General features: G+C 59.7%; 1 protein-coding gene across 7 annotated transcripts in view, besides 5 other annotated features; it reads right to left on the minus strand.

The window, feature by feature from the left end:
- NRXN2 (neurexin 2) overlaps positions 1–13160 on the minus strand; it is a 117024-nt gene extending 103864 nt beyond the window's left edge. For all 7 annotated transcript variants that reach the window (NM_138732.3, NM_001376266.1, NM_001376265.1 and 4 more), the window contains exons 1-2: positions 12934–13160; positions 2933–3906 (exon numbers count right to left, since the gene is read on the minus strand). In NM_138732.3, the coding sequence (NP_620060.1) occupies positions 2933–3662 (730 nt within the window). In that variant the 5' untranslated portion in view covers positions 3663–3906; positions 12934–13160. The remainder of the gene's footprint in view (positions 1–2932; positions 3907–12933) is intronic.
- Positions 3087–3870: an enhancer, noted in NCBI's record as "H3K27ac-H3K4me1 hESC enhancer chr11:64480596-64481379 (GRCh37/hg19 assembly coordinates)". NCBI's record gives its function as "activates a minimal SCP1, AML or CMV promoter by ChIP-STARR-seq in naive H9 embryonic stem cells {active_cell/tissue: H9 hESC(naive)}" and the evidence as "EXISTENCE:reporter gene assay evidence [ECO:0000049][PMID:30033119]".
- Positions 13040–13334: a silencer, noted in NCBI's record as "tiled region #4107; HepG2 Repressive DNase unmatched - State 4:PromP". NCBI's record gives its function as "represses a minimal TATA promoter and a strong SV40 promoter by Sharpr-MPRA in HepG2 cells {active_cell/tissue: HepG2}" and the evidence as "EXISTENCE:reporter gene assay evidence [ECO:0000049][PMID:27701403]".
- Positions 13321–13620: a silencer, noted in NCBI's record as "silent region_3481". NCBI's record gives its function as "represses an Ori minimal core promoter by ATAC-STARR-seq in GM12878 lymphoblastoid cells {active_cell/tissue: GM12878}" and the evidence as "EXISTENCE:reporter gene assay evidence [ECO:0000049][PMID:35858748]".
- Positions 14001–14050: an enhancer, noted in NCBI's record as "active region_4908". NCBI's record gives its function as "activates an Ori minimal core promoter by ATAC-STARR-seq in GM12878 lymphoblastoid cells {active_cell/tissue: GM12878}" and the evidence as "EXISTENCE:reporter gene assay evidence [ECO:0000049][PMID:35858748]".
- Positions 15260–16098: an enhancer, noted in NCBI's record as "H3K4me1 hESC enhancer chr11:64492769-64493607 (GRCh37/hg19 assembly coordinates)". NCBI's record gives its function as "activates a minimal SCP1, AML or CMV promoter by ChIP-STARR-seq in naive H9 embryonic stem cells {active_cell/tissue: H9 hESC(naive)}" and the evidence as "EXISTENCE:reporter gene assay evidence [ECO:0000049][PMID:30033119]".

Below are 16789 nucleotides of genomic sequence, written 5' to 3' on the forward strand. Positions count from 1 at the left end.
GTGGGGATTACAAGTGCCCGCCACCATGCCTGGCTGATTTTTGTATTTTTAGTAGAGACGGGGTTTTACCATGTTGGCCAGGCTGGTCTCGAACTCCCGACCTCAAGTAATCTGCCCGCTTCAGCCTCCCAAAGTGCTGGGATTACAGGCGTGAGCCACTGCACCTGGCTCACGTTTCTTTTTCTTACATGACTCTCTCTCACACACACACAGACACACACACACACAATGGGTCAGATACATATATTCAACCATCTCTCACAGCTTCACCACAGCTGACACAAACATTCATCTGATACCAAGCCATATTATACACACAGCCATCCCTCTCACACAGTTACTCAAACACATCTTAGACACACAACCACACAACCCGTATTCAGAAGCATGCACTTGTTTGCCTCACTGGAAGCCTCTGGCCAATGAATCCTCTCAGGGAATGGATACAAAGGCTCTGGTTGACCAAGGTGCCTCTGGCTGCATTTTTCACACACCCAAGCCCAATTCAGCCACAGTGAGGCCAGGGACCGGTTACCCTAACCTCCCGTAGCTCGAGCTTTCCCTCCATCAAATCAGAGGATGATTCATCCTGTTTTCTTAGGCAGGCTTTGGGGGAAGGGTAGAGGAACCAGAGGATCAAATTAAGGTTCTGGAAAGAAAGAGTCCTCATGCAATCCGGCTGTCTTACTGAGGCCTCACGTTAAAACACAAGCACATGAGCAGACACCCTCACACTTGGGAACTACTCACTCTACTAGGCACTAGACTCCTCTATCTGCAAACACTGGTATTCAAACAGACCCATTCACACGTCAAATACACACTGCCAGACTCGCGGGCCTCTACACGCAGGCAAACACACACCGACACAGAATTTCACAGTTTAGGAAACAGCTGAACTCCTTGGAGAAAGGGTGAGAAGGTGTCAGCTTAACTTAATACACAGTTCCTGATGACGTAACCCACAACCTTGTACCAATAACCCCAAGAAAACAATCCCCAGAACTTTTGGATGTATTCATCGACCACAACTACAGATACACAGGCAAACGACTCTCCCAAGTGCAGACTTCCCACACCCAGGGCCACACCTGCAGGCTGGGCCCTCCCATGGCTGTCCACAGGCACACAGCCACAGGACACCTATCCCCAAAGCAGTGCCGGGCCACATTCATGTTGCCAGCGCACACGTGCACATGCACACGCTCCCTCAAAAGCCTCTGACTCTGGGGGGACGGACACACACACACAACCGCTGAGTGGCCCACAGCTTCTAGAGGGACCAGGGGAGAGAACGTCAGGCCTGAGGCACACACGAGCTGGAAGAACAGGGACGAGGGGCGGGGAGAGACGCGCATGCGCCGCCCCCAGACCGATGGGGGAGCCCCTCCCCACGCCCAGCCAGACCCTAATGGAAGAGGCTCCTCCCAGTGCTTCCTCTCCTCAGCGCCCCCTGCCCCCCGACACCACAGCCCCGCCCCGGGCCGCTCAGCCCAGGACCCGCCCGCACTTCACCACTTCACGGTCTTGGCCAGACTCTCGGCCTCCGGGCAGCGCGGGTGCTGGCCGGACCCCTCCCTCCGGTGAGCCTCTCTCCCAAGCGCCATTCCATAGTCAGCCCCACGGCCCAGGGTCCCACCTCGCCCTGTCCAGCCCAGCAATCTCCCATCAAACCCCACGCTCTCAGGGGTTCCACGCCCCGTCTGTCATCAAGAGAGACTATTGGCCATCTCTGACCCTCACCCAAACTGTCCACTCCTCGTCAAGAGCCTGAGAAGCCTCAGCCACCCTCTCCCTCGTTTTCCCTTTACTCTTCGGAGGCGCTCTGAGGATTTTGTGGTGAAAAAGAAACACTCGCTTCCTGGCCACAGCCTCGCAATCCCCATTCTCCCTCGCCTGCGCTGGAATCGCCATCGTGCCCTTCTCACACTCAGCGTCCTCACGCCTAGGCCCTCATCCCTTAGTGCTTGTCCAGGCCGCACAGGCCGCACTTCCCGCCCTTGGCTCGCGGACCTTCAAAGACTGCGACCCACTGTCGACTACGCTCCCTGCCCCAAAGCCCCGCCACACGGCCTCGCCCCCTGTCTCGTAGGCCCTGCCCACACTGGCCTTTCCACACAGGCCCCACTCAGCCCCTCACCGTTTCACATGGGGCCCCGCCCCCTGTCTCACAGGCCCCGCCCACACTGGCCTTCCACACAGACCCCACTCACCCCCTCACAGCCTCACACAAGGTCTGCCCTGTCTTGTAGGCCCTGACCACACTGGCCTTCCACACAGGCCCTACTCATAGGCCCTCACGGTCTCACACGAGGTCCTGCTCCCTGTTTCATAGGCCCAGCCCACACTGGCCTTCCACACAGGCCCCACTCACAGCCCCTCACGGCCTCACACGAGGTCCCGCCCCCTGTCTCATAAGCCCCACCCACACTGGCCTTTCCACGCCAGCCCCACTCACCACCCCTCACGGCCTCATACGAGGCCCCGCCCTATGCACAAGCCCCACCCACTGTCCTTCAGGGGCCCCATGGTCCCCGCCCACTGCCTTTAATGGGCCCTGTCCACGCAGACCCCCACCCACAAGCCTTCACGAACGCCTCACAGACCCTCACCCACCAAGCCCACGGGGCTTCATGCACCCCACCCTCAGCAGCCCCTTCAGAACCTGACCACACAGGCTGCCCACAGGTCGCCGCAGGACTCACGCTGACCACGCCCAAGCCGGCCCCGCCCACTCGCCCCGCCCACCGCCAACCCCACGCGCCCTCGCCCGGACACGCGTCCCCGCAGCCCTGGAGCGCTCGCACCCACTCACAAGCCCTCGTGCCCAGCCCCCGTGCCTCAGGAGCCCACACACACTCCGACCCCCACGAAGCGCCCCAGGCCCTCACCCCCGCGCCCAGGCACCGGGCGGCCGCTCCCCGGGGCTCACCTTCGCTGCAGAACTTGCCGCCGAAGCCCGTGTGGCTGCAGTCGCAGCCCACCTCGCCGGGGGCCAGCACGGTGCAGAGGCCGCCGTTGGCGCAGGGGTTGCGCGCGGGCGCGCACAGCGGGTCGGCGGTGGCGCCGCGCAGGCCCTGGCTGCCCAGCAGCGCGGGGGGCCGCTCGCCCAGCTTCAGGTTGGCCAAGAGGCCGCGGAAGGGCGGCTCGTACTTGACGGTGCTCAGCGTAAGCGCCGAGAGGCGCACGTCGGGCGGGATGCCGCCCACGAACAGGTCGCTGGCCACCTGCATCTCGCGCCGCTTGGAGCGCACCTCGGCGGCGCGGGCCTCGCCGTCCACCGCCAGCGCCGTGCGGCGCGCGTCGCGGGTCAGCAGCACCATGTGCCAGCGGTCGTCGGCCACCGGCGTGTCCAGCTGCAGCGTGGCCGGCTCGGCGCACGAAAGCGTGAAGCGCAGCCGCAGGCGGCCGTCCACCAGCAGCAGCTCCAGGAAGTCGCAGTCGCCGCCGTCGTCCAGGTAGAGCAGCAGCGCGCGCGTGGCGTTGGTGCGCAGGCTGAAGCTGAGCTCGCCGCTGCTCGCCGCGCCCGCCCAGCGCGCGTAGCGAGCCCACTGCCCGGGGCCGCCGCCGAACTCCAGGCCGTCCGCGCGCGCCGCCAGCGCCAGCAGCAGCAGCAACAGCAGCGGCGGCGGTGTCGGCCGCCACCGGCTCCCGGACGCCATGCCTACGGCGGCCCCGGCCCCGCCCGGCCCCCGGCCCCCGCTCAGGCTTCAGAGCCGCGGGCGCATGGGGCGGGAGGGGGCCGGGCGCTCCCCGCGCTGAGCGGGGCTCCCTTGCAGGCTCACAGTGCCATGGGCCCGGCCGCGGGGCGAGGCGCGCAGAGGCCCAGATGCCGGCTTCCCTCAGGCGGCGGCGGCGGCGCCCCTCCCCCGCCGCGGGCTCCGACAGAAGAGCAGGGAGGGATGCCTGCGGGAGAACAGAGAGGAAAGGGTTAATGAGAACAGAGAGGAAAGGTCCAACGAGAGGGGCCGTCGGTGCCGGGCTCCCCACGCATATCAGCAGGCACCAGACTGTTTCCCTGCAGAACTTAGAGAGGCCCTGACCTGCAGAGGGTCCCGAGGCAAGAGACGCGGATTCCGGGGGCCAGCACTTAGGAGAGATGGCACGCACTAGGGGCAGCATTGGTTTGAGATGTGGACAGGGAGAGGTGACACGTTCGAGCCCGGCAGGAGCCCAACCTCAGCCCGCTCCCTCACCCTCTCAAAGGACCCCAGTGTCAGGAAGGACCAAGGCCAGCTCCTTGAGCGAGGCCTGGGAACTCTCCTCCGCCTGGTGACCCCAGCCCCTTCTCTGAACCGCCCAGCCTCTGCCTGGCTCCCACCTCCAGCCACTGTTCCTCTCATCAGCTCTTGATACTGGATAATGAAGTTGCTAAATAATTCATTGGGATTAATTAAATGCCAATTCGTCGATGGTATCACAGGGTAACCAGACTGGGAAGGGGGCAAGGGAGAGAAGCCAGCCAGGACCCAGATATCCAGGCCCCAAGCCCTCTCCATCCAAGCAGGGACTCAGGCATCCAATTCTGTGTCTCCAGTTCCCCCGAAACCACGCTCACCCCTTCCCAGGCCCCAGCCTCACTGCTTACCAACCCAGGTCCTTTCTGAAGCTAAATGTCTGTCATCCTCAACTTCCAGCTCTCAGTGCTCAGCCTCAGGACTGGCCCCACTACCTGGGCTCTCTTTACCCCTCAGTTCCCTCTGCCCACCCCCCACCCAAGATTGGGGGAGCCACCAGGAGGCAGGCAGGCTCATTTGCATAAAATTGCCTTTCTGAAATGATTACCCTTGTAACGGGCTGTCAGAGAGCAATTTATACCCCACGCCGGGGAGGGGAATTTGCATCTCGTTAAACTCCAAGTCGTAATTATTTATATCCAACAACCCTCCTGAATATTGCATTGATTTTATTTTGGGGAGGGAGGGAGAGAAGGAGGTGGGGAGAAGCCTGGGAGAGAAGCAGGGAGGGGCTAGAGTTTAGGAAGAGACAGGGAAAGACTGAAGGAAGAGGGGAGAGAAAGAGGAAGGAGAGGAAGCGCCTGGAAAGTAACAGAGATGGAAGAGTAATGGAGGAGAAAGGTGGCCTAGTGGGGAGAAATGAAAGAAAAGACAGAGAAAATTAAATTCCAAATCCAAACAGCATTTGTCAGAGCCCTGGGTGCTGGGCATTTTTACAAATGTCATTTTACTTAATCACTCTGAGAAGTCCCATTATTCTCATTAACCACTGGGGAAACCCAGGTAAAGGGATCTGGGGACTTGCCCAAGGTCACACGGCCAGTCAGCGGGGAACTGAGACTCAGATCCAAGTCTGCTCGACTGCAGCATCCCCAGGAAATAGACAAGCACAGGATAGCCACAGGTGTAGCTCAGTGAGGTGAGAACCAGAAGATAAGGAGAGGGCTGACTTCGGGAGGGGAAGGCTGCAGAGGTGCAGTGAGGAGCTGAAGAGCTATGTGGAAGGAAACGAGGGACCCCCTAAAAAACCATAGTGAGGGGGCGTCTGGAGAGTGACACGTGTGCAGAGGAAGATGGGGCAGAAAAGGCCTCAGAAGGTAGTCGGGAGCGTTGGGGGAGCCATCTCCAAGAGGCCGGTAAAGCTCAGCCCTCGGGTCCTGCCATCCAGCTCCTGACTGCTGCCCTCCCAATCCTACAAGGCTCCAATGGGGACCTGAATGTCCTGCCCCAACACCCCTCCAAGGACTGCCTCTGCCCGGGCAGTGGGGAGGAGATCCAGGCAAGCAACCCCCACTCCTTACAAACACTGTCGGGTTATATATAGCCTTGCCACTGCCTCTCCTCATTGGGTAATGGAGATAATTAACATGTGCGGGCTAATTAGCCAATCAAATTAAATGCAGCACCTGCTCCCAGCCTGATTGACGCCCTCACCCCCCCACACACAAGCATCCCCAGCCCAGGGCAGGGAAGGGGGCTCCTCAGGCATGGGGGGAGGGAAAGGTCTAAGCTTTCCCTCTTTTCCAGAAGCGGTAGCCAAAGACCCTCAGCAAAGGGACAACCCTGTGGCCAGAAGAGTGACCAGCCTCCCTTCCTCCTTCCCTGCTAGGGTCTCCATCTCAGTCTGGCCTGGCCTAGCCTCTGTCTGCTGCTCTCCCAGCATCCACCCCCACCTCCGGACACTATTTTGGGGAGGGAATTAATTAGCTATCGATTTCCGCTGGCGGAGGGAAAAGGATTTCGTGCTGCTGTCCAGTCATCCCCAAGCTCAGAACAGGAGGGACTGTTTCCCCCGCCCCACCCCCATCCCAGTCCCCCTGCCATGGCCACATCCACCACCCTTTAGGGAGATGGCAGACGGGTTCTGTGGGAAAGGCGAGGGGCAGGAAGTTGGGGGAGGACAGATAGAGTGAAAGATGGTAGGGAGGCTGCCAGAGGCTGGAAGGCAGACGCCTGGGTCCTGAGAGCCAAAGGGAATGTTATCTGGGTGGAGGGGCAGGGGGGCGAAGCGGCTGAGAGTCCAGGAGGTGGAGGTTCTACTGGTCCGTGTGGAGGGAGAGTGGGAGGGGTGCCGTGCAGGCAGGCTTCTGTGAGCCGGTTCAGGGGCAGAGGCTGGGCTTATGTGGTGCCTCCAGGGAGGGTCGGAAGCAGGGTCTGGGCCTGCGGCCCCTCAAGGCTCATTACTCATTCTTCCCGCAGCCCACAGCTCTGCAGCAGAGGCCAGCCAGGCCTCTGGGGGCACAGGGACTGCGGAGCTAACCAGGAGGAAGCCCCAGCACTCCCTGAGTCCTCTCTCCCCCGGGATCCACAGACCCTTGGGGCAGCTTCACGCTTGCCAGGTAGAGATGGTCCCAGGAGGAGTGAGCCAGCGGACACCTGGGTCCTTTCCATTCCCCCGCCCAGTGTCCAGGAAACTTGCTGCTCTTCCCCTCGCCTTTCCCCTCCCTGCGCCTCTCCCACCCAGGCCAAGGCTGCTGCCGACCCAGCCTCCAACCCACCCTTCTCCCAGAATACAGGGGGCTCCTGCTACCCTGGGATGCTCCATCCTTCCTGAGCTCCTGGAACTTAGCAGCAACCCTTTCTCCAGAGGTCTCCCCACAGGCCAGGGTAATTGCCTCACACGACCACATCAAGTAAACGGTGTCCCCTGGAGTTGTACAAGGCAACAGCTCCTCCCCAGGTTTATGCAGTGCAGAGGAAGCCGCCTTGCACCCACAGCGTCCAAGTACTGCCCCCGCAAGGCCCACTTTTCTTCTTCCATTGCCCACTGCCAGTGCAGGGACACTGCCAGGGTGACCCTGGGGTACCTGTCTGCTCACTGACGTCAGTGCAGTGCACACTGCCACCCACTGCTGGCCCAGAGCCGCCACACCTCTGGGGAGCCGACCTCCTGAGTAATCCTGGGGTTCTGTACCCAGTCAGCTCCCTAGTGCCTCCCACCCTGCCCCTACCCACAGATAGACTCAGCAGCCTTGGGCCAGTGGTGCCCAGAGCTGGAGTGGGTGGGGCAGGGGGTGGCTAGGCTGCCCTCAGGACTTCTGCTGACTCTCCCCAACATTACCCTCTCCCGATAACTCAACATTACCCTCTCCCGATAACTCTTCCTGGGTCCTCCTAGGCCAAAGCCTCCTCCTCATTTTCCCACGGCGAGGCCAGTGCCACTGAAGCCTCTGGGCTGCAAGCTTTGGGCTCCGTCTGCATCAGACACCAGGCTGGACCCCATGTGCGCTGTCTTAGTCAATCCTTCGGCTTCTAGGAGGTCATTTTGTCACTCAGGCTTACAGACCAGGAAGCTGAGCTTAGAACGATGAATTCACTTGCCCAAGGCCACAGTCCAGGTAAAGGGTGTGAGGGCTCCAAGGCATTTCTTTTCCCCTGTGTCTGGGGCTCAGAGCCCACCCTCCTCTGATCTGGCCTTCACAGGGGACATAGCTCTCTCAGGTGCCCCACTCTAAAGCCCACTCCTGGGACTGGGAGACAGAGATCTCAGAGCTCATGGGGTTCATCTTCTCTTTTTTTTCCTGATGTGGAAACTGAGTCCCAGGGAGGGGCAGTGAGCTGGCCTGGGATCACACAGAAAAGCAAGACTAGAACCAAAGTCGCTGGCCTTCCCTTCCAGACATTTCCCCTTGCACTTGCTGACCTAGACCTGGGCCCTCCAACCTGACCAAAGGCCTCAGCCCTACGCCATCAGGGGCAAGTATGCAAATGGTGATCCATGCCCACACAAGCAGAGCCCCTGGCCAGGGGCCCTCTCCCCGCATCCACACAGCCCCCTCTCTGTCAATGCCCACACACACAAACACACGCCCATACACACACCTCCAGCCATGGGGATGCCGGCCTCCCTCTGGCTCTCCTCTCCTCACGCCAGCATCCTCTCATGCCAGCTGGGAGTGAGACAGCAGGGGCCTCCTCCAGGCGCCAGGGAGGAAGAGCTGGGTTTACACACATTCTGGTGGCCCCAGAAGGCAGCCCGTGGACAGGTGGGAGAAGTGCGTGCTATGGGGGGAGATTCTGGCTCAGGCTAAAGAGAAACTTGCTGGCTGGCAATCTAAAGCATCCAACAGTGGAGTAGGCTGCCTCGGGGGGTGGTGAGTTCCCCGTCTGTGGGGGTGTTCGAGGTGAGACCGGATGACTGCTGCTCAGAGAGGCTCGGTGTGGGGGAGGCTCTTGAATCATATGGAAGAGGACAGCAGACTGCTTGACCCCTGAGGTCCTTTTCAGGTGCAGAATGTTTTTTGGAGGGTCCCCTTTCCCCCGTGAAATTCCAGGCAAGATTGGCAGACGGTGAACAGTTCCTACCTCCCCCTTCCTTCCAGCCGTGATGATCTGGCAGAAAAAAGGGAAGACCCCATGCCTTTCCACACCCAGCCACAACCTCAGCAGCAGCAAAAACAAGACAGCACAGTGGTTAGAGGCACTGGCTCTGAAGCCTGGGTTCAAATGCCAGCTCTACCCCTATCCAGCTGTGTGACCTTTGGTAAGTTACTCAGCCTCTCTGTGCTTCACTTTCTTTATGTATAAAATAGAGATAATAATAGTGTTGTCAAAATTAGAATTAACATACATAAAGCTCCTAGTACACTGCCTGGCATAGACTAACGTGTGAAAAAAAAGTGTGTCGTATTAATGATTTTTTTAAAACTTCTCATCTCGGCCTTTTACAGTTTGCAGTACCGAGTGCCTAGTGTTTCCTCTGATCCTCACCAGGGCTTGGTGAGAAAAGTAAGCAAGACAAGTATTATCACTGCCCCTTTTACAGATGAGGAAATAGATACTCAAAGGGGAGAAGGGACCCACCCAAGGTCCCACAAATCATAAATGGCAGAGCTGGGATTCAGATTTGGTTCTGTCTAATCCCTATCCCTCGTGTCCTCCTCAACTCTGCTGGTCAATTGTCCTGACTCAGAGGGCAGTAGAAGGAACAAACAGGTCTAAAGATAAGTCGGAGTCCCATGCCAGGGTGGGCTGGGCATGAGCGGCCATGTCTGCAGGTCGCCAAGCAGCTCTCTGTGTCATGGAGAGAAGCATGGAGCGGGCTGGGCCCAGGAGCTGGTAGCTCGGGGTGCACAGGATGAGGCTGCTGCCGCCTCATGGAGCTGGGGAAGCGGGTGGGCTGGGGACAGAGGTGCAATGGAATGACTTGGTGGAGTGGGGGCCGGAGGACAGGTGCATGGGAGCATGGAGGTAGGTGGTGGGAGGGATGAGCACCAAGCTTACCTATGCTGTGCACAGCTGGGGCACAGCAGCCTGGGCGGGTGCACCCCAGTGATGCAGAGGGGGACAGATGGCTTCCAGGGGCGGCCTTGTGAGTAAGCATGAGGTGCCTGGGAATGTTCCTAAAGGTATCTATGACAGGTGTGTGCGCGTGTGTGTGCGTGCAGGGAAGGTTATGATAATGACAATAAAAATAGCTACCATTTACGGGGACCTTCTATGTGTCTTACAAATACCTCAAAGTAAGGTTTACAGAGTGCTTCGCACAAGGCCAGGCACACAGTAGGTACACAATAAACATGCTTGTTACTACTATCATTGCCATCATTGTCCTCTCAGTGAGTCCTCATAACATCCCACTAGGTAGGGATGAGGATCCCATTTCACACGTGAGGAAACTGAGGCTCACTGAGGAGCACAGCGGAGTCCCACCTTCACCCTCACCCCACCATGCCAAACAGTGGTGGTGGCAGTGGGGAAGCAGCTTCGTAAATAACAAGGTGCCACACACATCCTTGAAAGTGTGCACCAGACTATTTGTTGAATGAGTCTCCGAGAGCCCACAGGCCCATCAGTGTGGAAGGGGCAGGGGCGAGGGAGCTGCACCAACAGATGGAGCAGCAAGGTGGGTGGCGTGTGAGGACACACAATCGGGGCATCCCCGTGGGGGCTGGGCTTGGGAGCTGCGAATGAAAGGACAGTGTCTCCAGTGCACAGGCAGGTGTAGGGGCCCTTGTGCCTGAGGATTAATGCGGGGGGTGGGGCCACTTAGAAATGGGAAGGCTCCCAGGGAAACCAGGTGTAGGTGGGGGCTGGACTCCACTGGGAAGGGTCGTGGTTGTGGCCAGGAGGGGTAGGAGGCCCTGCGCCGAAGGTACAAAGATAAGTGAGTGAGAGAGAGAGAAAGTAGAAGAGAGGTTTAGGGGGTGAGCCACAGCATTAAGTGTGTTAGCAAACATGTGCTGGTGTGCACACACACGTGCACACACACAAAGGCCTGGGGCAAGGTGTTCAGCACCCAGACAGACATGCACATGGTACTTCAGGATGAGCTTGCTGGGGGGCAGGGACTGGTGTGTCTGGGAGGGTGTGCCCACATGCTGTGTAGACCTGGGAGGGATGGGGTGTCTGGAAGGAGAGGGTGTGTTGCAAGGACTGAAGGTGTATGAGGAAGAAGCACAGGTGTGCCTGCGATGGCTGTGAGCCTGGGGAGGTGAGTGGTTGGATGGGGGCTGTGTGCATCCAAGGGTGAGGGCTGGCAGTGCTGCGCTGGGGGCTCTGGGGGCACGTAGTGGCCGTGTGTGTGTTGTGTACATGGCAGCAAGGCACCTGGGGGAGGTCTCAAGGAGGCAGGCATGAGGTGGCAGCCTCTCTGGGTGGGGAGTGTGGGCTGTATGCTGCCAGGAGGTGTATTGTGTACGCAGGTGTGTGTGCCTGTGTAGGTGTGTGTCTGGGTGGGTGCCACCGAGCGCGTGTATCATTGTCAGAGTGTCTGTGTCACTGGCAAGGGTAAGCGGGAGGGAGCAGCTGGACCTGGGTAGTGACTGAGCCTGGAAGGAAAGAGGGGTCCCCACCAGCCACTCGCGCACCCAGCCCCTCCTCTCAGAACTCCAATGTCATATGGATTCAGCCCAGGCCTGGGCTGGAAAGAACTGCCCGGCAGCCGTGGCTGGTTGGTCCATCCCGCCCACCCCTGTGGATCTGAGGATAGGATGGGTCTGAGAACACTTCCTCTAGCATGAATGAAGAGCCCCCAGCCAGACCCTTCTCCCCTGTCTCCCAAAAGATCCAGCCACACCTCAGATGCCAGCATCCCTAGAGCCATCCCTGGAAGCAAGAGGAGGTAGGGACTGAGGGGCTGAAGCACCCACAAAACAGAAGGCCTCACAGTTAGCAGACTGCAGACCTCCCTCCCCTTCTCCTTCCCTCTCCCTTCTTTCTTTCTCCTTCTCTGGCAGAAGACAGAGAAAGTAAGACCCTAATGTCCACCCTCCTCCAAAAGGAACACCCAGACACTGGGAAGGTAGACAACAGGGAAGGATAAGAATGAATGGAAGAGGAGAGACGCCCACCCGCCAACACATGAAAAAACAGGGCTATCTGGAAGCCCCCAGGGCAGCCAAGGGACTGGGGACCCAAGACCCACCCCCTAAAAATCTATTTCATTATTCCAGGTGGACAGCCTCCTCCTTCACCTCCAGACACCAAGAAAAAGCCCCTCCCAGCCCTTGCTAGCTCAATGAGGCATCGAATGCCCTCTCCCAAGATTCAGGAGGGGGGTGAGAGTAAAGGAGACAACAGCACCCCAAAGCCAATTGTGCCCCAAAAGCCCATCAAGGGTTCAAGGGCTCATACCCCAACCCAAAGACCCCAGGGAAGATTGCTGCTTCAGCTGGGGGAGGAGGCTGGGACATGAGAAATGGTCCCTTCCTCTTTAGGGGTGGGGGAGCAAGCCAAGGGCCCTGCAGCTTCCTCTCCCCCTGCAGCACTCTCTGACCAGAACCCTGTCACCGCCCCCAGCGCATTCCCACCCCAGCAAAGCCCCCTCCTACTGATTTCCCAGTCTCCCTGTCTCATCACCCCCAGCCTTCCCCCGCAAGCTTCCGCTCCTCTCCCTCAGACCCCATCTTTCCCAGCTCTCCACCAGCACAGACCCATCTCTGCCTGGAGCACCTTGGCACATTCCCCTCTGCTCTCTCCCAATAACCTCTTCTCCCCTTGGCTCCCATCCCCCAGGAAAGCCTGGTCCTCAGTGGGTCCCCTCAGGACGAAGCCCTTGGCCTGGCCCCTTTCCTTCCCTCTCCACTTCTCTCTCTTCTCCAGCCCCCTCTCCTCTCCTCCCACGAAGCCCAGTTTCTCGCTGGTTAGACCCTCCAGAACACAACAGCTCCTCTGGCCCGGCGCTGCTTCAAGCCTCTGGGGCTAGCACAGACTGGGGACCCCCCTTTAAGAACCCCCTCTAAGTCCTCTGGATGCCCCTCCTCTCTCCATCCCTTCCCCCAAAGACCCTTCCTCCCACCCCTCCCCATTCTCCTCAGCTCTCAGGGCCAGTGCCCCTTCCACAGGAGCCTCCGACCCCCAAGCCCCCAGCGGCTTTGCCTCCTCGCTGTCACCGGGCCAGCCCTCTCAGCGCGGCGCCCCCGCCCCCCAATTCATCCGTCCTGCCTCCCTCGCCCCCTCCGATCCGCTCCCCTCCCCCGATCGGCTCCCGCCCCCCGCCCGTCTCCGCCGCAGCGCCCCCCCCCCCCCATTTTACCTGGTTCTCGGGGCGCCAGAAGCTGGAGGGTGGGTAGCAGAGCTACAGGGCCGCCCCGTCTCCGACGGGTGGCAGAGCCAGGGCTAGCGGTGTCTGCCGCCTCGCGCCTCTCTCCCTCCCCGCCGCGTCCCCGCCCGCCCGCCCGCCCCGCCGCGGTGCCTCTCCGAGGAGGATGCTCCGCGAGTCAGGGCGGCTGCTCCCGCCGCCGCATCCCTGCAACACCGACTGACGGCAGCATCAGCACCAGTGCCCGCCCCCGAGACGCGCGCATTGGACCACGCTGCGCTGACGGGCGAGCAGCGCAGCCAATGCAAGGGCTCAGAAGCCGCCAGTCCAGCGGCTCCACAGGCCCACTCCCTCCCTCGCGCGGGACCCAGGCGTCCCGGCCCCAGCACCCGCGCTCCTCCCAGCCTCTCGAGGTTCTCGGGCGCCCGGGCCCCCAACCAGGCGGGCCCCAAACCCGGCCTCAGTGTCTTTTCCGGGAACCCAAGCACTCTCGCCCCTCGCCCCTCGCCCCTTAGTTCGGGGCCTTGGGTCCCGCACCCTCCCCCCACGGCCAGCAGGTCTTCGCGCAGCGCGGGGCTGGGACAAGCCGAAGGAGAGGCTGTGGACCCCGACTTGGGACGCCGCGAGAGCAGGGCTGATGCGGGGCCTGGGCCGCAGCGCCCTCTGCTGGCTACCCCCAGGGGCGGGCCCGGGCTTCGAGGAGCCTAGAGAAGGGGGACTCGGTGGGTCCATGGCTGCTGGGGGCTTTTTCCAGTCGGTAGCCTGGCCCCCACCTCCCACCGTCCGGAGGGCCCCTGGCTTGGAGCCCCCAGAACTGAAGAGGAAGGGGCTTTGCTGGGATAAAGACGGAGGCGGTGGGGGAAGGAAAGGCAGAGATGGGGGCGGGGTAGACCTAGGAACTTGGGGGTTTCCCAGTCCTGCCTCATGGGAATCCCAGAGTTTGAGGCCAAACTCTCAGTTCTGCCTGGAACCCTGGACCGAGGTACGAGTAGGTGTGGGGGCAGGGTTGCGCCTGCACATGCCTGGTGACTGAGGGCACCTGGCAGCAGCCCCCTTCTCTGTTCTCCTCCTCCCATCCATGAGTTTCAGTTAGAGTGGTGCTGGGGGGCGCAGGTCTCTCCTGTAAGGGTACATGCATCACTGTGCATGTGTATGAGTGTGGGGGACTGGGGGACACCCTTCACTCACTCCGCCAATAAAAGTGTACACACACTGGCACTTAGTGTGTATACCCCGAGGTTGGTCACTGGGCTGCTGAATGAGACAGTGAGAGACAGAGTGTGTGTGTGTATGTGTGCCAGACCATTCTGCCAGCTCACTCCAGGACCCTGGTTTCTGTTGCAGGGTCTGTGATCTGCACAGCTGGTGGTAGTTGGCACTTCCTTAGCCAGAGGCAACATGCAAGAACACTTACATTCAACCACCAATGCATGGACATTGGGGCACTCACAGCCATGCACACATATCTGTGAACACTGGGCATTCCCAGAGACACATAAGAACACCTGCAGAAATGCCCCACCATGGTAACACACCCACAGGAAGCATATACTGCCCAAGAACACACACACTTGTGCACACAGGTACCTACACCAGGCAATTAATGCATGCCCAGAACAGCTGCACCCAGGGGACCTGCCCACAGTCATCCTGGACCCCTGCCCAGGCACTTCAAAGAGAGTGGTCAATTACTGAGTGGCTTAATGCGGACACCAACCCCCCGGGTGGGAAACTCCTTCCCCAGCCTGTGAAGGGGTAAGAGGGGGACCCAGGCTGCAAGGAGTTTTTCCTAGGAGTCGAGAAGGGTGATCCCTAAGCCAGGTCCCAGACTTAGGGCCCACTCTGACCTTGGAGAGACCCCCAGGGCATCCCCACCAAAGCCAATGAAGGAGCCAGAGAATGGAACTGCTGCGTCAGGGCCTATGAATGCGAAATCGCCTCCCTGACCCCACAGCCCACTTTCCTGCCCATCCCCCACTGTTCCTCTTCCTGCAGCCTCCTCACACTCACACACACACACACACACACACACACCCCTTGTCCATCCAGGCATCAGGGCATAGACAGACAGATGCAATGGCTCACAGAGACAGACTCAGACCCTTACAGAGGAGCCTGGGCAGGGAGGGAGGTAAGTATGAGCACTTGTCTCCTTTCCCTACCCCCAGCTTTGCCCATCAAGGGCAGAAAAGGTCACCGGGCAGCTGCTGCATCTCCCTGTCCCTCCCACCTACAGGGACATCTCTCCTCTCTGCAAGGTCCAAGGTTCAGATTGCCTAAGCATTTGGGACCTGCCACTTCAAGACACACCCCACACACACACACACCACACACAGGTACCCACCCAATGTGGACAGTTGAGTGATATGCTGAGCACATGCCCTTCTCCCATGTGCAAAGGCCAGTGGGGACACATGGGGGAGGGGAAACACAGCAGATACAGCATGCATGTCCATGCACACACATGCACACAGGCGCATACAATGTGAAGCTCAGACACCAAATTCAGACACATGCAACCATGAAGACCGCTACTTGTCACATCCCGGGCAGGCAGACCTGGACACACATATGCATGCATGCATACACACACACACACACACACACACACACACACACACACACACCAGGAAGAGGCCAGACTGGAACTGGAGGGTAGTGACGAGAGGAGCCAAGAGGAACCGACTGGGCTGCAGGGATGGAGGCAGCACAGGAGGCAGGCGGCACAGGAGCGAGCTGCTCTTCACAACACAATCGCCGTCTGTTGTTATAGCAACTCAGCCCCCAAATCGTGAAACGGATATTACAGCCTCAAGAGGGGGAAGGGCGGAGGGGGCTGAGGACAGAAGGAGGGGCAGGGGGGCACCCGATGCAGAGACAGGGCTGGGGGGCCCAACACAGGGTAGGCCTGCAGGAGAGATATGACCAGGAAAGAGAAGGGAGTGACCCAAAATAAAGAACAGGCCAGGGGGAGTGGGGTCTCAAAGCAGGGATGGATGTGATGTGGGGAAACCCTGGGGTGGGGGACCGGGGCACTCATGGGGGAACTGAGGCCACTGCCAGGCCCACAGATACTGTGCTTTGGAGTGGAAGGTGCTCAGGTCTCCACCCCTAGGACAATCCTACAGCTGCTGTGGGACACCTCCCAGTTTGGGGGACTGAGGAGGTAGTTCCCATTGTCAGGACTGCTGTCTGGAGTCTCCTGATCCCAGGGGCAGCCCGGCCCAGCTTCAGAACCTTTAGTAAACTCCCAGACCAGCCTCAGAAGTGGCCTTAGCCTTCTTTAGGTAGCAGTGACCCCCAAAACCTCCGTGCTGCAGGCTCAGGAGGGAAGAGCTGGGTTGGGAGAAGCCACCACCGGAGGCTGAAAGCAGGATCAATATGCATTTCCTCTGGAAGTCACTGTCCTTCCGGCTGGCAGCAGCACCAGGCCAGGAGGCTGCAAGGCGGAGGAGTGCAGCCCCCACCCTGAGGCACAAGCCCAGCAGGGCCCTCGGACTGCCCAGGGCCCTCCCTCCCTTCCCCGACAGCCAGCAACTCTGTGCTGCCCCTCTCCCTCCCACGATTCCTGCAGTGAGGGCCCTGTTACTGGAAGCGTCCAAGCAGGGGCTGAAAGGCCCCCTGTCCAGCAAGGGAATTTCGGCCATGGGCTGAAGGCTTTGGGTATGCATGACTGGCCCTGCAATTCTCGGGTGCAGACCTACTAGTTTCAAGTTTTAGATGTCCAAGGATCTGGTCTCCTCAAGATCCTAGACCCTCCCCAAGATTCTTATGTTCCAAGGTTTTCTGCTTCTAAGATTCTCTTCCCCAAGACTCCAGACACATGAGATTCCAGACCTCCCAAGTTTCT

This window comes from Homo sapiens, chromosome 11 (genome assembly GCF_000001405.40).
Source record: "Homo sapiens chromosome 11, GRCh38.p14 Primary Assembly".
Classification (NCBI taxonomy): Eukaryota; Metazoa; Chordata; class Mammalia; order Primates; family Hominidae; genus Homo; species Homo sapiens.